General features: G+C 45.7%; 1 protein-coding gene across 4 annotated transcripts in view, besides 6 other annotated features; it reads left to right on the forward strand.

Moving 5' to 3' along the window:
* Positions 3-1,202: an enhancer, noted in NCBI's record as "MED14-independent group 3 enhancer chr20:30696834-30698033 (GRCh37/hg19 assembly coordinates)". NCBI's record gives its function as "activates an origin of replication core promoter dependent on BRD2, BRD4, P300/CBP and CDK7 cofactors, and independent of MED14, by STARR-seq in HCT116 cells {active_cell/tissue: HCT116}" and the evidence as "EXISTENCE:reporter gene assay evidence [ECO:0000049][PMID:35650434]".
* Positions 3-1,692: a biological region, named in NCBI's record as "MED14-independent group 3 enhancer GRCh37_chr20:30696834-30698033".
* Positions 205-949: an enhancer, noted in NCBI's record as "NANOG-H3K27ac-H3K4me1 hESC enhancer chr20:30697036-30697780 (GRCh37/hg19 assembly coordinates)". NCBI's record gives its function as "activates a minimal SCP1, AML or CMV promoter by ChIP-STARR-seq in naive and primed H9 embryonic stem cells {active_cell/tissue: H9 hESC(naive and primed)}" and the evidence as "EXISTENCE:reporter gene assay evidence [ECO:0000049][PMID:30033119]".
* Positions 607-786: an enhancer, noted in NCBI's record as "active region_17710". NCBI's record gives its function as "activates an Ori minimal core promoter by ATAC-STARR-seq in GM12878 lymphoblastoid cells {active_cell/tissue: GM12878}" and the evidence as "EXISTENCE:reporter gene assay evidence [ECO:0000049][PMID:35858748]".
* TM9SF4 (transmembrane 9 superfamily member 4) overlaps positions 686-17,977 on the forward strand; it is a 57,543-nt gene continuing 40,251 nt past the window's right edge. For 2 of the 4 annotated variants that reach the window (NM_001363731.2, XM_017028155.2), the window contains exon 1: positions 686-1,011. Coding sequence is in view for 2 of the 4 variants with exons in the window: in NM_014742.4 (NP_055557.2) it covers positions 713-727 (15 nt within the window). In the remaining 2 variants the exon portion in view is untranslated. The remainder of the gene's footprint in view (positions 1,012-17,977) is intronic. The other 2 variants (NM_014742.4, XM_017028154.2) reach the window with 1 other exon arrangement.
* Positions 950-1,692: an enhancer, noted in NCBI's record as "NANOG-H3K27ac-H3K4me1 hESC enhancer chr20:30697781-30698523 (GRCh37/hg19 assembly coordinates)". NCBI's record gives its function as "activates a minimal SCP1, AML or CMV promoter by ChIP-STARR-seq in primed H9 embryonic stem cells {active_cell/tissue: H9 hESC(primed)}" and the evidence as "EXISTENCE:reporter gene assay evidence [ECO:0000049][PMID:30033119]".
* Positions 12,110-13,003: an enhancer, noted in NCBI's record as "NANOG-H3K27ac hESC enhancer chr20:30708941-30709834 (GRCh37/hg19 assembly coordinates)". NCBI's record gives its function as "activates a minimal SCP1, AML or CMV promoter by ChIP-STARR-seq in naive H9 embryonic stem cells {active_cell/tissue: H9 hESC(naive)}" and the evidence as "EXISTENCE:reporter gene assay evidence [ECO:0000049][PMID:30033119]".

The following is a 17,977-nucleotide window of genomic DNA, read 5'->3' on the forward strand; positions in this document are numbered from 1 at the left end:
ATTTAAAAAATAATGTATTGGGCATCTACCACAAGCCCAAAGGAGTATACATAAACATATACTGACAATTATTTATTGAATACATCCTATGTAATACTGTGTCACTGAATCCTCATCACAAGCCTATGATGAACCAACCCCCTTCCCATTTCACAGATGGGAATGAGGAAGAGCAAGGTAAAAAACGAACAAACAAAAAAACAGGGTCCACCCTCATGGGGATTACAGTCTACTAAAGAGGATATAGGATAGTCAAACAAATACTTAAAATCAAACAAATACTTAAATATATAATTACAAATTATTCTTGGAGTCGTACTGCTCTTGGAGCCCCAGTGCCCACCCTTTCCCTCAAATCAAGGTCTCAGGTAACCCTGGCAATGGGTCTTCCTGCCAGTAGTAAAGATGGCGCTGAGAGCACGAGCGCACTTTCGCACACCCCCATTACCCACAATGCAGCGGGAATAAGGGAGGCTCAGTTTCTGCCAGGAGCTAATATGGCTTCCTTAGTTACACCGTTCTCTCTCTTCACCTAATCAGCGACCTTACTTTCCCAGACCAGACTGTCGAGCAGGAGCTAAGACTCCTTTTCCCCTCTGCTGACCGCCACTACAGGAGCGGTTGAAGCCAGACGACCACCTTGTGGAGTTAAACTCCGTAACCAGGGAGCACCACTTCCGCTGACGTCATTACGGCGACACGTGGATCCAAGATGGCGACGGCGATGGTGAGTGAAGGAGACTCCGGGAGCGGGAGCTGGAGCGGGGCCCTCCGGGGTATCCCAGGATCTTCCAGCACCCCATGCCTGGCCCTGAGCCACCTCCGGGACCCCTGACTCAGGCCTGAGGGCTACCTCTGACTGGGCTTGTCTTCCCCGAAATCCACCTCCCTGGCCCTGCCCCTGCACTCAGGCTTGTGAAGGCCCCGAGTTTTGGGGGAGGCGCCGTTTCGGAGGAAGACCTCGGCTGCTGCCTTCGCCGGTTCCCATTCTACTTTTGGTCTCCGCCCACTGTGAGCCCCATTTTCCATTTCTCACCTCCCTGTCCTGACCCCTCTGAAGACCCCCTCCCGTTATTCTCATCCTTGCTCCTCCCCGTCACGTCCAGACCCTGCTCTCCCCGCCTCCCCACCATCATAACCAGTCCGCAGATGTGACCTCTCCTCTGACCACCCTCCCAGCCCAAGCGCTGCCTCAGATCCTTTTCAGAGCCCTGTCCTCACTTACACTCATAGCTGTCCCCATCGCGCACCCCCTTGACTGCCGCTACCCCAGAGCTTGCCTTCACCTACCCCACCCCCATCTTTCATCCCTAGAGGCTTCCCTGCCCTTCCTGTCTTCTCTCAGTCAACTCCCTGCCCCTCTCTTAGGGACCTTTTACCCTGTTGGTTCTCAAACTTTACTGTGCATAAGAATCTCGAGGTGTGTAGGGGGAGGCATGCTAAAAATGCAGTTTCCTGAGCAGCCCCACTCCCAGAGATTCTAATTCCATAGGGCTAGGTGATGCCCAGGAATCTGCCCTTTTATAAGCACTCTAGTGATTATATAGTGGAGGTGGTCTGTGAACTACGTTTTGAAAAACACTAATAGCCCCACCTCACTGCTCTCCTTCCCATTCCCCAACATGGCCACACAGCTCGTTAGGGATGAAGGCTCTTTATTATGAAGCTATATGTTGGGATGAAGTCTGTGTGTGGATGAGGGTGGAGGTAAAATAGCCATGCTTGGAAGTTGGGTCAGAGCTTGCGGGCTCCTGGTGCAGAACCTTGGAAGTAAATCTTTGAAGGACTGGCCCTTTTTCTAAAAGTTTAGTTCAAATTCTGCTTGTCAAGAGACCAGAACTAAAATTGAAGTCACTTAGTCCAGAATGATTTCCTGGGTCTTCCTGCATACTGCCTCCTCAGCAGATAATTTCGTCCGGGGAGTGAATGACAAGGAAGACTCAGAGAAAAGGAAATGACATTTGACTTTAGCAAAGGAAGATTCTGGCTTAAATAATTTGGTGTTGGTTTTCTCCAAACAGGGATATATTATTGACTGGTAGCAATTTTCCCTCCTTCTCTTAGCTGACTGAGAACTTACCTTTGTTTAATGAGGGATTCCTTATTTAGAACTTCAGAGGTCAGGTAAAAAGATTTCATGGCCTTACCTGGTTTCTGTGGTTTCAGACTTCAGGCTGAACCACGAGTGGGGCAAATCCTCAAAGTAGTATGTTGAAACCTACATATATGTATATATATTCTGGTACCACATTCAGAACAGAGATAGTGTAAGAACTTAAAAGGAAATCACACCCTCTCTTGCTATAAGGAAAACATTGAGTAAAGTGGTATTTACGGCACTGCACTGGGAAATCCCTGCCTTGTTCAGAGATTTTTAAGAGGTTATAAGCTAGCAATACATATATGTGGTACACATCTATTTAGTCAACAAATATTTGAGTACCAATTCTGTTCCAGGAACTAGGGATGTAGTTGTGAATTACAGGGTCAAGGTCCCTACACTTGTGGAGCCTTTCTGGTTTGAGGAGACAGGCAGTGAACAAGTAAATACGTGAACAAAATAATGTCACCAGTAGATGCTGTGAGGACAGCAAAATGAAGTGATAGTGATTAGGGGTGACTGGGTGACACAACTACTTTGGATTGAGTGGTCAGAAAGAAGTCTTCTCAGAGGAGGTGACTTGAGTTAAAACATAATTAACAAGAAGGAACCAGCCATGCAAAGAATGTTCCAAGCAAAGGAAATGGCAAGTGTAAGGGGCCGATGTGGAAGGGAGCTTGGTGTTTTTGAGGAACACACAGAAGGCTGGAGGGGCCGAAGCATGATGAGGGTTGGGGTAGGAGAGAATGATACAAGATGAAACTGGAGGGAAGCAAGAGCAACTGTTTTGAGAAGCATGCCTGGAAATGGGAAGGACTGCGGTCTACATTTTGTTGTCTGTGGATTGCATTTTGAAATAGTGTTGTATTAGGCTGCTTCCCCTTCCCATCCCCTTCAGGACAGTACTTGAAGGGAGCCAGCTTGTTCTCAGTTGGCACAGAGGCTGTGGAAAGGAGTTTGGATTTTAGTCTAAGCACAGTGGAAGGGACAGTGATTTTTGCCCAGCACAGTGACTCACACCTGTAATCCCAGCACTCTGGGAGACCAAAGCTGGGAGATCGCTTGAGCTCAGGAGTTTGAGACCAGCTTGGACAACATGGCAAACCCCTCTACAAAAAAAATACAAAAAGAAAAAATTAGCTGGGCTTGGTGGTGTGCACCTGTAGTACCAGCTACTTGCGGGGCTGAGGTGGGAGGATCACTTGAACCTCAGTGAGCCCTGATCACTGCACTGCACTCCAGCTTTGGCAACAGAGCGAGACCCTGTCTTAAGAAACAACAACAGGCCGGGAGCAGTGGCTCATGCCTGTAATCTCAGAATTTTGGGAGGCTGAAGCAGGCAAATCACTTGAGGCCAGGAGTTCAACACCAGCCTGGCCAACATGGCGAAACCCTGTCTTCTAAAAATACAAAAATTAGCAGGGTGTGGTGGCACACACCTGTAATCCCAGCTACTCGGGAGGCTGAGGCACAAGAATCGCTTGAACCCGGGAGGCGGAGGCTACAGTGAGCCAAGATCGTGTCACTGCACTGCAGCCTGGGTGACAGAGTGAGACCCTATCTCAAAAAAAAAAAAAAAACAAAAAACAAAACACACCACCACCAACAAAACCCTGCAAGTACGGTGATTTAGTGTTTGTTGTGCCACCTGGGAGTGTTGTACTGAAAACAGTAACTGATTTAAAGAAACTGAGTATGTAACATATGCAGTGACCCACAGAGGCCAGTTTAAAGGGTGCATATGGAGAAACTTCATATCTGGTGCAATAGTGAAAAGGTGTGGAAGCAAATTTATTACAGGGGTATGTGATGAAGGGGCAAAGTGGAGTCACAGGCTTGAGTTTGGTCTGTGTCAGCACTTCATTACACGGAAGTCAGAATAGTCCCCACACCCTCATACACACCCTCATTTCATAACCATTGGGGCGAGGGGGTGCGGTAGACCTACTTTGGAGTGTATGGGTCTCTGAGGTGAGTCATACAGCCAAAGAGGAACTGAACTAGTGGATCCAGTGGCCGTGGGAATAGCTGGGTTGCTGGTTTGTCCTTTGTTTTGAAAGTTAGGGTTGTGGGTGCAAGTGCGGTGGCATGTGAGCTTTTCCCTTTCTCTCTTTCCTTGGTGAATGGCTCTTCTTCCCCAAGGGTTGAGCCGCCAGCTCCCAGAACAATGTCAGTATGGAGGGTGTTTCCTGAACCCGCAGGGCAAGACTTCTCCCTCCATAGAAGATAGCTGGTGTAAACTGAAGTTCTCTTTGATTTTCCTGTCTTCTTCCATCCTTAGATTTAGACTACTCTGTAAAGTTACAGGATACAGTGTTGATCTAGCTAGGTCTGAATTGAGATGCGGGCTCATGTCTCACTCTTTATGGAAAACGGTTCTTGGGAATATTATTTCATTGAAACTTGGGAAATGTCCATTGAGTACATTTCTAGATGTGTCAGGAGTCTAGAAACTTCAGTTTGGAGAATAAAACTCTACTTCCCTCACATCATTGTTCATACTGTTTTGGTTTTTATTATAATCTTCTTTATGGATATAATTCATATGCCATAAAATTCACCCCTTTAAAGTATATAATTTAGTGGGTTTTAGTGTTTTTATAGGTTGTGCATACACTAAATGTGATGGTTATCACCATTGTGTAATTCGGAACATTTCATCACCCCAAAAAGAGAGTCACTCCCTACTCTTCCCTCCCCACAGCCCTAGGCAACTACTAATTTACCTTCTGTCCCTATAGATTTGCCTATTCTGGACATTTTATACAAAGATAATTATATAATATGTGATCTTTTGTGTCTGGCTTCTTAGCATAATGTTTTCAAAGTTTGTTTATGTTGTATCATGTATCAGTAGTGCCGCATCCCTTTTTATGGCTGAATCTTCCCTTGTATGGATGTACCACAGCTTGTTTATCACTCATCAGTTGATGGATATTGGGATTGTTTTCACTTTTTGGTTGTTAGGTATAATGCTGCTGTGAACATTCAGGTGTAAGTTCTTGTGTGAACATACATTCAGTTTCCATGGGTGTATGGAAGTGTATTCCTGCATCAGTTCACACTGTTTTGAGGTTACTTGGGTTTGAGCCACTCCAGAAACAGGAATGGAATAAATGACATCAAGATTCCTTTGTGCTAATGGAGCCAATGCCAGTAGTCCCTCCAGCCCCAGTCAAAGGCACAGAAACTGGTTTTGTTTGTTTGTTATTATTATTTGAGACAGGGTCTCACTCTGTCATCCAGGCTGGAGTGCAGTGGCACGATCATAGTTCACTGCAGCCTCCACCTCCCGGGCTCAGGCGATCATCTTGCCTTAGCCTTCTGAGTAGCTGGGACTACAGGCACGCACCACATCCACCTAATTTTTTAATTATATTTTTCTTAGAGACAGGGTCTTGCTATGTTGCCCAGGCTAGCCTTGAACTCCTGGCCTCAAGCAATCCTCCCGTCTTGACCTCCCAAAGTGCTGGGATTACAGGTGTGAGTCACTGTGCCCAGCAAAAACTGTTTTTAATGGTGAAATAGCGTGCTAATCAGGTTGGATGATAGAGTCCTGGAACAGAAGGCCAGAGGCCTGAACTGTGCCATCAGTCTTGTGTGCAGGAAGTTGCTGTCTCCTCTGGACCCCATGTACAGGAGGACATGAGCTGACTGAAGAAGGAACGCTGGAGCAGGAGCCAGCAGCCTGGGCTTGGTCCCAGCGCTGCCACTGATGCATTGTGTGGCCTGGGGCAAATTACTTTGGCTTCATTAGTCTGTTTTCCACATATGTCATGTGTGAAATTAAGGTTTGTACTTGATGATTTCCAAATTCTGAGTTGAAAATTTTGTAGTTTGGAATACTTTAAGGTGAGTTTTGCTAATATGCCTATAAAATCAGACTTATTTTGTTTTTTCCATGATGATGGTCACTGTGATCTTTCCAAGCTGTTGTGTTGGTTGTATTGTCTGTCTGATCACCCAGGTTTCCCCACCTGGCTCATGTTCTGCAGGAGCTACTGTGTCCTTGGAGCTGAGGTGCTGACATCGGGCCTTGGTTAAATGTGTTTCTCTGAGGGGTCCCTTTAAAGGAATGCCCTTAATCCCCCTCAGGAAGTACAGAGGAGGTTGGGATCACATTAAGTTGCCTCTTAGTTTCTGTTTTACAACTTGGACAAACGTCTCCCTTTGATCTTGGCATTAAAGAAGCACGTCAGAGAATGTTGGAGAAGGCTGAGTTTTGATCTCTGGGCACTGGCAAAAAGGTGGGAAGGACCCAGGATGAGAAGAGCCATCTGGCCACGGATGAATAATAGGAGCCACTACCACCTTCAAGCCTGCTTTGATCCCTGAACCATTTGCTGACACTAGAGTTTCCCAAATGGGGCATGGATGGGGACACCCAGGACTTCTCAGTTCCATCTCATTCCTTTTCATTGCTTCCTTCTCTCCCTTCCTAACATGGTTTCTCACCTATGCCTGATGCTTTAAACCAACAGACCTCCCAGGGTTTGAAATCCTCTTATGCTTGGTCTGAGAATCTGGGCTAGACTCCCAGCTCTGACACTGTGATTACTTTTGTGACTTTGGACTGATTGGTTATGTGATTTTGGGAAAACCGTTTGCGCTTTTAAGCCTCAATTACCTTATATTAAAATTTTTTATTGTGGTAATAACAAAACCTACCACTTTAAGCTTTTTTTTTTTTTTTTTTTTTTTTGAGACAGAGTCTCACTCTGTCGCCCAGGGTGGAGTGCAATGGTGCGATCTCAGCTCAGTGCATTACTGCAACCTCTGTCTCCTGGGTTCGAGCGATTCTCCTGCCTCATCTTCCCAAGTAGCTGGGACTACAGGCATGTGCCACCACGCCTGGCTAATTTTTGTATTTTTAGTAAGGATAGGGTTTCGCCATGTTGGCCAGGCTGGTCTCGAACTCCTGACCTTGGGTGATCCACCTGCCTCAGCCTCCCAAAGTGCTGGTATTACAGGCATGAGCCACCATGCCTGGCCCACTTTAAGCATTTTTAAGTGTGCAGTTCAGTGGCATTAAGTACGTTTACACATATGCAGCTGTTAGCACTATCCGTCTCCAGAACTTTTTCATCATCTCATTTTTGAAACAAGGATGATATTCTCAAGGGATTGTTGTGATGATTAAATGAAATATGAGATGAAAGTGCTAGCACAGAGAGGGCACTCTGTAACTTTACTCCAAGGTTTGAAGTCTTCCCGTGGTGAGCTATCTAAGCCTGCTGCTTGGGCTAGCTGAGAGTTCTTTTATAAATACCCAAGGTGGAGACAGGAGAGCAGTACGTTTCTGCACTTGGTGGTGTCAGGGTTGAAGTCTGGTTGCCTGTTGCTTCGTGAGGGTGGTTATTAGTTTCACCTGGACTTCCGCAGTGCAGCCTGCTGTGCGTTTTTCCCTACCCCCAAATTACAGCTTTGAGTCTTTCATGTGTCTCTGTTCAACAGCTACTCTGTGTCTGTGGGCTCTGAAATAAAGGCTACATTTTCAGTTTCCTGTGGCTAATTTGTTTTTTGTTTGTTTGTTTGTTTGTTTCTTGCTCTGTGAGTTCTTTAGTTCCATGGGCCTGCTTGGTAAGTTGTCTCTAGCTGTCATTAGCCTTCATTCACATGCGGCTGGATTCTTGGTAAGCTTTAACTGACTGGATAATTGACTTCAGTTAACTGTTGGCAAACTGTGCCCAAAGCCTTTTTCTTTTTTTTTTTTTTCCTCCTTTTTCCTTTTTCTTTTTTTTTTTTTTTTTTTTTTTTTTGCTTAATCTGAGGGAGCAGTTACTGACATGGTCTCAAAATGGTGACTGTCGCCAGGCACAGTGGCTTACACCTGTAATCCCAGCACTTTGGGAAATGCCGAGGTCGGAGTGGGTCATTTGAGGTCAGGAGCTCAAGACCAGCCTGGCCAACATGGCGAAACCCTGTCTCTACAAAAATACAAAAAAATTGCCGGGTCTGGTGGCAGGCACCTGTCATCCCAGCCACTCAGGAGGCTGAGGCAGGAGAATCACTTGAACCCAGGAGGCGGAGGTTGCAGTGAGCCAAGATCATATCACTGCACTCTAGCCTGGGCAACAGAGCTAGACTCTGTCTCAAAAAAAAAAAAAAAAAAAAAAAGTGACTGTCTTTTAGAAAGAAAAAGAAGAATCTAGTCTATTGCTAAGGAAAATGCTGCTTTTGCAGTAGGAAAGGCATGGAACAGGAACCAAAAAGGCCGTTCAGATTGGCCAGATGTATTGCTGCTAGTTGATGCTATTTATGGGAAAGGAGATTGCAAGGCAGAGGGCTCCAGAAAAAGTTAACTTCTGGTTACAGAGAAATGCAAGTGAATGAAATAATTTTTCGTTCTCAGGGAAACTTCCTGTTTTCTTTGGAAGATGTTAATTGTTCACACCTTTCAAACTGGGTGGGGTGAATTTGGAGTGGCTGGGGGTACTTTTGAGTCCTAGCAGCCCTTCATTAGACAGCTGTTTGGGGGAGATATTTCTGAGTGCCCAACCCACCCCCGCCCCCCCAAGAATAAAACAGATGGGGAGGGAAAGACCTTGATTCTTGGTTCTCTTGAGCTTTATAACATTCCAGGTCACCTGTATCTTTGCCAGTGATGGCGTGTTAGATTACAGCACAAAAGGCTTCTAGATTGCCATCACCTTGTTCCTTGATATGCTGCCTTTGAGGTCTCTTTTGCTACTTGGAAACCAAGTAGCAAAAGCAAAATGACGTTGAATGGGCTGGTTCACATCTCTTAGGACTCTTTGCATGGCTCTGAACATGCAGAAGATGATTACTAAATATTTAATTGACTTTTCAGACTGAACCTCTCATGGGAGTTAATGAGGCAATCAATTAAAAATTAAAAGAAAATTTAAAGGAATTTCCTAAGAAGCAGGTACTTTGCTTTTTCCTTACAGAAAAGAACTGCAGGCCAAACATCCTCTATCAGGCTATCAGGAATATAGAAGGTGATGAAGTCATAGAATCATAAAAAGTTGGAACAGTGTCCAGGGGTTTTACCAGAAACCCATGAACTTCTAGTCCTTGATTCTCTGTGTATTGGAATATTTTTTCCGAGATCAGTATCTGTAGCTTTGATAAGTTTCTCAGAGGGATTTGTGACACCCTCCCCAAGATTAAAAATTGCTGATCTGTCTGCTTACCCACATACCTGGTGCCAGAATCCGCTCTGCATAATTCTTACCTTAGCCCACTTTCTGCACATCTTCTGTGGAACTCATCCCAGTATTTTCAGAGGCAACCCATTTCCTTCACTTCTTAAAATATAAATGAATATATGTCTTTAATTTTTTAATTTTTTTAGAGACAGGGTCTCACCCTGTCACCCAGGTTGGAGTGCAGTGGTGGAATCATAGCTCACTCTAACTGCAGCCGTCGGACTCCTGGGCTCAGGTGATCCTCCCACGTAATTATAGGTATTAGCTACTATGCCCAGCCTAAATGTATTTATTTTGTTGTATTTATTTATTTATTTATTTATTTATTTATTTATTTATTTATTTTTATTTTGAGACAAGGTCTCACTCTGTTGCCCAAGCTGGAGTGCAGTGGCGTGATTTCTGCTCACTGCAACCTCCACCTCCCAGGCTCAAGTGATCCTCCCACCTCAGCCTCCAGAGTAGCTGTGACTACAGGCAAGCACCACCATTCCTCATTAATTTTTTGTATTCTTTGTAGAGACGAGGTTTTGCTCAGGCTGGTCTCAAACTCTTGGGCTCAAGCGATCCACCTGCCTCGGCCTTACAAAGTGCTGGGATTATAGTCCTGAGCTACTCTGCCCGTAAATGTATTTATTTTTAATAAGGGTGATCCATGTATGTGGAAAAGAGTATTAAAAAGCTATAAAAGTATCAAAACATTATGTTGTGTGCCTACCATAAATATATTCAATTTTTACTTGTCAGTCTTTAAAAAGCTATAAAATGGATCAGGCGCAGTGGCTCACACCTGTAATCCCAGCATTTTGGGAGACTGTGTTGCTCATAAAGGAATACCTGAGGCTGAGTAATTTATAAAGAAAAGAGGTTTATTTGGCCAGATTTGGTGGCTCATGCTTGTAATGTCAGCACTTTGGGAAGCTGAGGCAGGTGGATCGCTTGAGCCCAGGAGTTCAAGACCATCCTGGGCAACATGATGAAACCCAGTCTCTATTAAAAATACAAAAATTAGGGCTGGGCACCGTGGCTCATGCCTGTAATCCCAGCACTTTGGGAGGCCGAGGCAAGCAGATTCTAGTGGGTGTGTGGTGGTACCTCACTGTGGTTTTGGTTTGCGTTTTCCTATTGACAAATGATATTAAATATATTTTATGCTTATTAGTCATTCATATATCTTCTTTGGTGAATTTCTGTACAAATCTCTTGTCCATTTTTAAATCGGATTGTCATTTTCTTATTAAGTGTTCTTTGTATATTCTGGATATAAGTTCCTTATCAGGTATGTGATTTGCAAAGAATTTTCCACTAGTCTTTGGCCCATCTTTTCATTTTCTTAGTGGTATCTTTGGAAGTGTAAAAGTTTTTAAATTTTTATGAAATTTAATTTATTATAATTTTTTTAATGGATTCTGGTTTTGGTGTTGTATCTAAGACATTTTTGCCTAACCCAAGATCACAATGATTTCTTATTTTTTCCGTATAGAGGTTTTTGAGTTTTAGCTTTTTTGTTTAGTTCTGTGATCCATTTTGACTTAATTTTTGTGTGTATGTTCTGAGGTTCCATGTGCATATGGCTACCCAGTGGTCCAAGCACTATGTTTTGAAAAGACTTATGTTTCTCTATTGAATTTGCCTTGTCAGCTTTGTTGAAAATCAATTTAGTATAAATGTAAAGATTTATTTATAGACTTTTAATTATTTTCCACTGATCTTTATGCATATTCTTACCACACTGTCTTGATATTGTAGCTTTATAATATGTTTAGAAATTATGTAGTATAAGTCCTCCAATTACGTTTTTAAGGTTGTCTTAGATGTTCTGGGTCCTTTGTATTTCCATATAAATGCTAGAATCAGCTTGTCAGTTTCTACAGAAAAACCTGCTGGAATTTTGATAAGGATTGCATTGAATCTATAGATCAATTTGGAGAGAACTGACATCCTGACAATATTGAGTCTTCTAGTCCATGAACATGGAATATCTCCGCAATTACCTTTGTTCATTTCTCAGCAATTTCAGAATTTTCAATATACAAGTCCTTTTAAAAATATATATTCCTAAATATTTTATTCTTTTTGATACTAAGTGGTGCGTTTTTTTTTTTTTTTTTTAGTTTTAGTTTTGGATTGTTGTTGCTAGTATGTGGAAATACAATTAATTTTTCTATATTGATCTTATAGTCTGACCTTGGTTAACTTGTTTATTAGTTCTAGTAGTTGTTTTGTGTATTCCTTAGGATTTTCTAGATACACAATCATGTGATCCGCAACTAAAAGCACTTTTTGCTTATTTCTTTTAATTTTTTCCCCTATGCTTCTTCAGGGATGCCCTTAATTATTAATGTGTTTGCTTTAGTGCAGTGACTTATAGTATAGTGTTGAATGGAAATGGCAAGAGTAGGCATCCTTGCCTTGTTCCTGATCTTAGGGGAAATAATTCAGTTTTTCACTACTGAGTATGATGTTGGCTGTGGATTTTTCATAGCTGCCCTTTATCTGATTAAGTTCCCTTCTAGTCCTAAATTGTTGAGAGTTTTAATGATGAATATGTTGGATTTTGTCAACAGCTTTTTCTACATCTATTATGATGATCATATGATTTTTGTCCTTTATTCTGTTTATCTGGTGTATTATATTAATTGATTTTCAAATATTAAGCCAACCTGGGATAAACACCACTTGGTCATGATGTATAAACCTAGATTCAATTTTCTAATATTTTGTTAAGAATTTTTTCATCTGTTCATCATCATCATGAACACACAGGATAGTTGTCCGTAGTTTCCATTTCTTGTGATGTCTTTGCCTGGCTTTGGCACGTGGTTTTTAAAAATTTATTTAGACAAGTGAAAAAAGGCTATACATAAACTACATAAACCCGCTGTGCCTCTTTTTTTTTTTATTTTTCTTTTTTTTTTTTATTGATCATTCTTGGGTGTTTCTCACAGAGGGGGATTTGGCAGGGTCATAGGACAATAGTGGAGGGAAGGTCAGCAGATAAACAAGTGAACAAAGGTCTCTGGTTTTCCTAGGCAGAGGACCCTGCGGCCTTCTGCAGCGTTTGTGTCCCTGGGTACTTGAGATTAGGGAGTGGTGATGACTCTTAATGAGCATGCTGCCTTCAAGCATCTGTTTAACAAAGCACATCTTGCACCGCCCTTAATCCATTTAACTCTGAGTGGACACAGCACATGTTTCAGAGAGCACAGGGTTGGGGGTAAGGTCACAGATCAACAGGATCCCAAGGCAGAAGAATTTTTCTTAGTACAGAACAAAATGAAAAGTCTCCCATGTCTACTTCTTTCTACACAGACAAGGCAACCATCCGATTTCTCGATCCCTTCCCCACCCCTCCCGCCTCTCCATTCCACAAAGCCGCCACTGTCATCCTGGCCCGCTCTCAATGAGCTGTTGGGCACACCTCCCAGACGGGGTGGTGGCCGGGCAGAGGGGCTCCTCACTTCCCAGTAGGGGCGGCCGGGCAGAGGCGCCCCTCACCTCCTGGACGGGGCGGCTGGCCGGGCGGGGGGCTGAACCCCCCACCTCCCTCCCGGACGGGGCGGCTGGCCGGGCGGGGGGCTGACCCCCCCACCTCCCTCCCGGACGGGGCGGCTGGCCGGGCGGGGGGCTGACCCCCCCCAGCTCCCTCCCGGACGGGGCGGCTGGCAGGGCGGGGGGCTGACCCCCCCACCTCCCTCCCGGACAGGGTGGCTGGCCGGGCGGGGGGCTGACCCCCCCACCTCCCTCCGGGACGGGGCAGCTGGCCAGGCAGAGGGGCTCCTCACTTCCCAGTAGGGGCGGCCGGGCAGAGGCGCCCCTCACCTCCCAGACGGGGCAGCTGGCCGGGCGGGGGGGGTGACCCCCCCACCTCCCTCCCGGACGGGGCGGCTGGCCGGGCCGGGGGCTGATGCCCCCACCTCCCTCCCGGACGGGGCGGCTGGCCTGGCGGGGGGCTGACCCCCCACCTCCCTCCCGGACGGGGCGGCTGGCCTGGCGGGGGGCTGACCCCCCCCACCTCCCTCCCGGACGGGGTGGCTGCCGGGCGGAGATGCTCCTCACTTCCCAGACGGGGTGGCTGCCGGGCGGAGAGGCTCCTCACTTCTCAGACGGGGGTGCTGCCGGGCGGAGAGGCTCCTCACTTCTCATACGGGGCGGCTGCCGGGCGGAGGGTCTCCTCACTTCTCAGACGGGGCGGCCGGGCAGAGACGCTCCTCACCTCCCAGACGGGGTGGCGGCCGGGCAGAGGCGCTCCTCACATCCCAGACGATGGGCGGCTGGGCAGAGACGCTCCTCACTTCCTAGATGTGATGGCGTCCGGGAAGAGGCGCTCCTCACTTCCCAGATGGGATGGCGGCCGGGCAGAGACGCTCCTCACTTTCCAGACTGGGCAGCCAGGCAGAGGGGCTCCTCACATCCCAGACGATGGGTGGCCAGGCAAAGATGCTCCTCACTTCCCAGACGGGGTGGCGGCTGGGCAGAGGCTGCAATCTCGGCACTTTGGGAGGCCAAGACAGGCGGCTGGGAGGTGGAGGTTGTAGCGAGCCGAGATCACGCCACTTCACTCCAGCCTGGGCGCCATTGAGCACTGAGTGAACCAGACTCCGTCTGCAATCCCGGCACCTCGGGAGGCCGAGGCTGGTAGATCACTCGCGGTTAGGAGCTGGAGACCAGCCCGGCCAACACAGCGAAACCCCGTCTCCACCAAAAAAATACGAAAACCAGTCAGGCGTGGCGGCGTGCGCCTGCAATTGCAGGCACTCCGCAGGCTGAGGCAGGAGAATCAGGCAGGGAGGTTGCAGTGAGCCGAGATGGCAGCAGTATAGTCCAGCTTCGGCTCGGCATGAGAGGGAGACCATGAGGAGAGGGAGAGGGGGAGGGGGGGAGGGGGAGAGGGGGAGGGGGGAGGGGGAGGGGGGAGGGGGAGAGGGAGAGGGAGAGGCTTTTTTTTTTCTACGTAATAGCTTATGTTGGCAGTACTTCAGTAACAGTTCTACCTTCTATGTAAGTATATATCACTAAATTACCCTCCCTAAAGACTGTACCAGTTTACCTACATCTAGGCTAATCATACTTTTTAAAGCTTTATAACTCTGTTAAGCAAAAAATGAGATATTATTTTGACCTACAGTTTTTAAATTATGAATGATGCTGAGCATCTTTTTGTGTTTGGCCATTTGAGCTTTTTTTTTTAACTGCCCATTCGTATTTCTTTTGGATTATTTGTCCTTTATCAGTTTCTAAGTGTCCTTGTATATTGAAGAAAGTAGTTCTTGGTCAAGTATGTTAAATGTTTTTACCTAAACTCTTTTTCTTTCTCTTTGGTGTATTTTTTCATTTTTTTCCCTTATACATTTATATATACATTTTCTTTATACCTTCTGGATTTTGCTTTATTCTTAGGAAACTTTCCATGAAGATTATTTAAAAGCATATCCATATTTTCTTCTAATACTTCTATTTTAATTATACTTGTAAGTCTTTTATGTTCTTTTCACCAGTATCAAACACTTTGGATAGCTCTCTAGCTCACGTGTTCTCTCTCTCATATATATATATATATATATATTTTTTTTTTTAAAGAGATAGGGTCTCCCTCTGTCATCTGTGCTAGAGTGCAGTGGCACAATCATAGCTCGCTGCAACCTCAAACTCCTGAACTCAAGTGATCCTCCTGCCTCAGCCTCCCAAGTAGCTAGGTCTGCAAGCCCACTTCACCATACCCAACTAATTTTTAAATAATTTTGTAGAGACAAGGTCTCACTATTTTGTCCAGGCTGTTCTCAAACTCCCATCTGTCCTCAAGTGATTCTCCTGCCGAAGTGCTGGGATTGCAGGTGTGAGCCTCCATGCCTGGCCTGGGTAGGTCTACATTTTAATGTTTAGTAAAACTAGCCTGCCTTCATTATTTCTCTTTTCAAAATCATCCCGAAGTAACGGACAAATACCAAATTGACTACAATGGTTTGTTAAAAGAAAGGCTTTGAATTGGGGGAGAGACAAGTGAGACAAACAATCAGAGGAAAATAATTGGAAAGGGATGGTCAAAGGAGAAAAATAAGCAGTTCATCTGTGGCAGTACAGTTCTTCTTGAACACCTCTAATCGTGACCTCAAACTGTCCCTAAGCATGGTTCCCAGCCTGGTGATAGACCTCTGTTCACTTGGCTGTGCCAGTCTGGGTGGAACTGGACTTACTTCACTTTGCAGATAACTTGCTGTGTGACCGTGGGTCTTTCAGTTTCCCTCTCTGACCCCCTGGATTATATGACCTCTGAAGTTCTTTTAAAAACTTTTTTTTTTTTTTTAGATGAAGTCTCATTCCATCACCCAAACTGGAGTGCAATGGCACAATCTTGGCTCACTGCAACCTCTGCCTCCCAGGTTCAAGCAATTCTCCTGCCTCAGCCTCCCAAGTAGCTGGGATTACAGGCGTGTGCCACCACGCCTGGCTAATTTTTGTATTTTTAGTAGAGACAGGGTTTCACCATCTTGGTCAGGCTGGTCTCAAACTCCTGACCTCAGGTGATCCACCCTCCTTGGCTTCTCAAAGTGCTTGGATTACGGGTGTGAGCCACCGCACCCAGCCCTACAAATTGTCTTTTTAACCCCATCAAACCCAACTTGGAATGGAACTTTGCCTTGTTTTGTTTTGTTTTACTTTTACGTTACTTTGGTTGATAAAATGTCAAATATTCTCAAGGGAATTATGAACTTCTTGAGCTTCAAGGGAGGTCATGAGACCTCTGATTCAACCTGTTCATCAGGGCAGAGACCTCCTCTGCCACCTCCTCCCATGGTCACTCAGCTCACGGTGACGGTTGCATAGCTTTCCTGTTAGAAGAGCCCTTAGAGTGGGCCCACTGCATCTCCCTTGCAGTGTCCTCCTTGGTTCTGCTTTCTTGTGCAACCCAAAACAAGTCCACCCCGCCTTATCAAGCACCTACTATGTGCCAAGTGCTCTGTGAACTTTATTTAATCTTTACCACCATCACCCTACCATGAGGTTAGTAGTATTTTCCTAGTTTACAGATAAGAACCCAAGACTCAAAAGAGTTATACAAATTTACCCAAAGTCACACAGCTAGGAAGTGGTAGGTTTGGGATTTGAATTCATGTCTGTATGGCCCTCAAAGCCTGTGCTTTTTCCAGTACACCAGTGGTTTTCAAAGTGTGATTTCAAGAGCAGCAGCATCTTCTGGGAACTTGCTAGAAGTGCACATTCTCAGGCCCTGCCCCAGACCCAGGTGTTTTAGTAAGCCCTCCTGGTAATTTCCATGCATGCTCAAGTTTCACCACTGCATGTCATGTGCTCCGCTTCGGTACCTGGCTGCTGCTTCTCTTCACATTTGACCAAGAATTTATAAGTGATTTCTCTTTTTTCTTTTTTTTTTTTTTTTTTTTTGAGACATAGTCTCGCTTTGTCACCCAGGCTGGAGTGCAGTGGTGTGATCATGGCTCACTGACTCAGGTGATCCCTCCCACCTCAGCCTCCCCAGTAGCTGGGGCTACAGGCACGTGCCATCACGCCCAGCTAACTTTTTGTATTTTGGGTAGAGATGGGGTTTTAGCATGTTGCCAAGGCTGGTCTCAAACTCCTGGGCTCAAGCAATCCACCCACCTCTGCCTCCCAAAGTGCTGGGATTATAGGCATGAACCACCGCACCGGGCTAGATTATTTCATTTATCGTTATTAGATGTCAAATCTAGGACTGGATATTACTGCGTCTCCAGAGCAGAAATGTGCTGCACACAGCCCTCTTTCCCGTAAACACACACACACACACACACACACACACACACACACACAGTAGCCAGAGTAACCTTTAAAACTGCAGATATGATTTATTCCTTTTCTACTTAAAATTCCTGAGTCTCCTCACTGCACTGAGAACAAAGCCCAACACTTGCTACTCATAGGATGGTCCATGAACCAAAAGTGTCGTCATTACCTAGGAGCTTGTTAGAAATGCAGAGTCTCAGGCCCTACCCAGACCTTCTGAATCAGAATCTGCATTTTAACAATGTCACCAAGTGATTTAAATGCACATTAAACTTTAAGAAGCACCAGCCTATATATTACCTGCCAAAAACTCATAGTTGCCACCAGGCCTTTGCGTCTGTGTTTTGCTCTTTCTGGAACCCTTCTCTTTTTCCTCTCGCCTCCCTTCAGGTTTCAGGGTAGACTTAAGTTCTTAGATTTGCACTCCTTCCCTGCCCCAAGACTGGGTATATTGCTGCTCCCATGTACTCCCCAACATATTGTTCTTAGCCTCTTAACTTGCTGAGAGCATCTGGGACCTAGTGTTGTGATGGGCTGATGGCTCATCTGTGTCTCCCCACCCGCCTGAAAGCTCCTTGTGGGCATGTATTCTTGAGGCTGGCACAGTGCCTGACACACAGTAGGTGCTCAATAAGTAGTTGGTGAACTAATTTCTTTTTTTTTTTTTTTCCTGAGACGAAGTCTCGCTCTTGTCCCCCAGGCTGGAGTGCAATGGCACTATCTTGGCTCACTGCAACCTGCGCCTCCTGGGTTCAAGCAATTCTCCTGCCTCAGCCTCCCAGGTGGCTGGGATTACAGGCGCCTGCCACCACGCCGGCTAATTTTTGTATTTTTAGTAGAGACGGGGTTCACCATGTTAGCCAGGCTGGTCTCAAACTCCTGACCTCAGGTGAACCGCCCGCCTCGGCCTGCCAAAGTGCTAGGA

Source organism: Homo sapiens, chromosome 20, assembly GCF_000001405.40.
Source record: "Homo sapiens chromosome 20, GRCh38.p14 Primary Assembly".
In the NCBI taxonomy this organism is placed as follows: domain Eukaryota; kingdom Metazoa; phylum Chordata; class Mammalia; order Primates; family Hominidae; genus Homo; species Homo sapiens.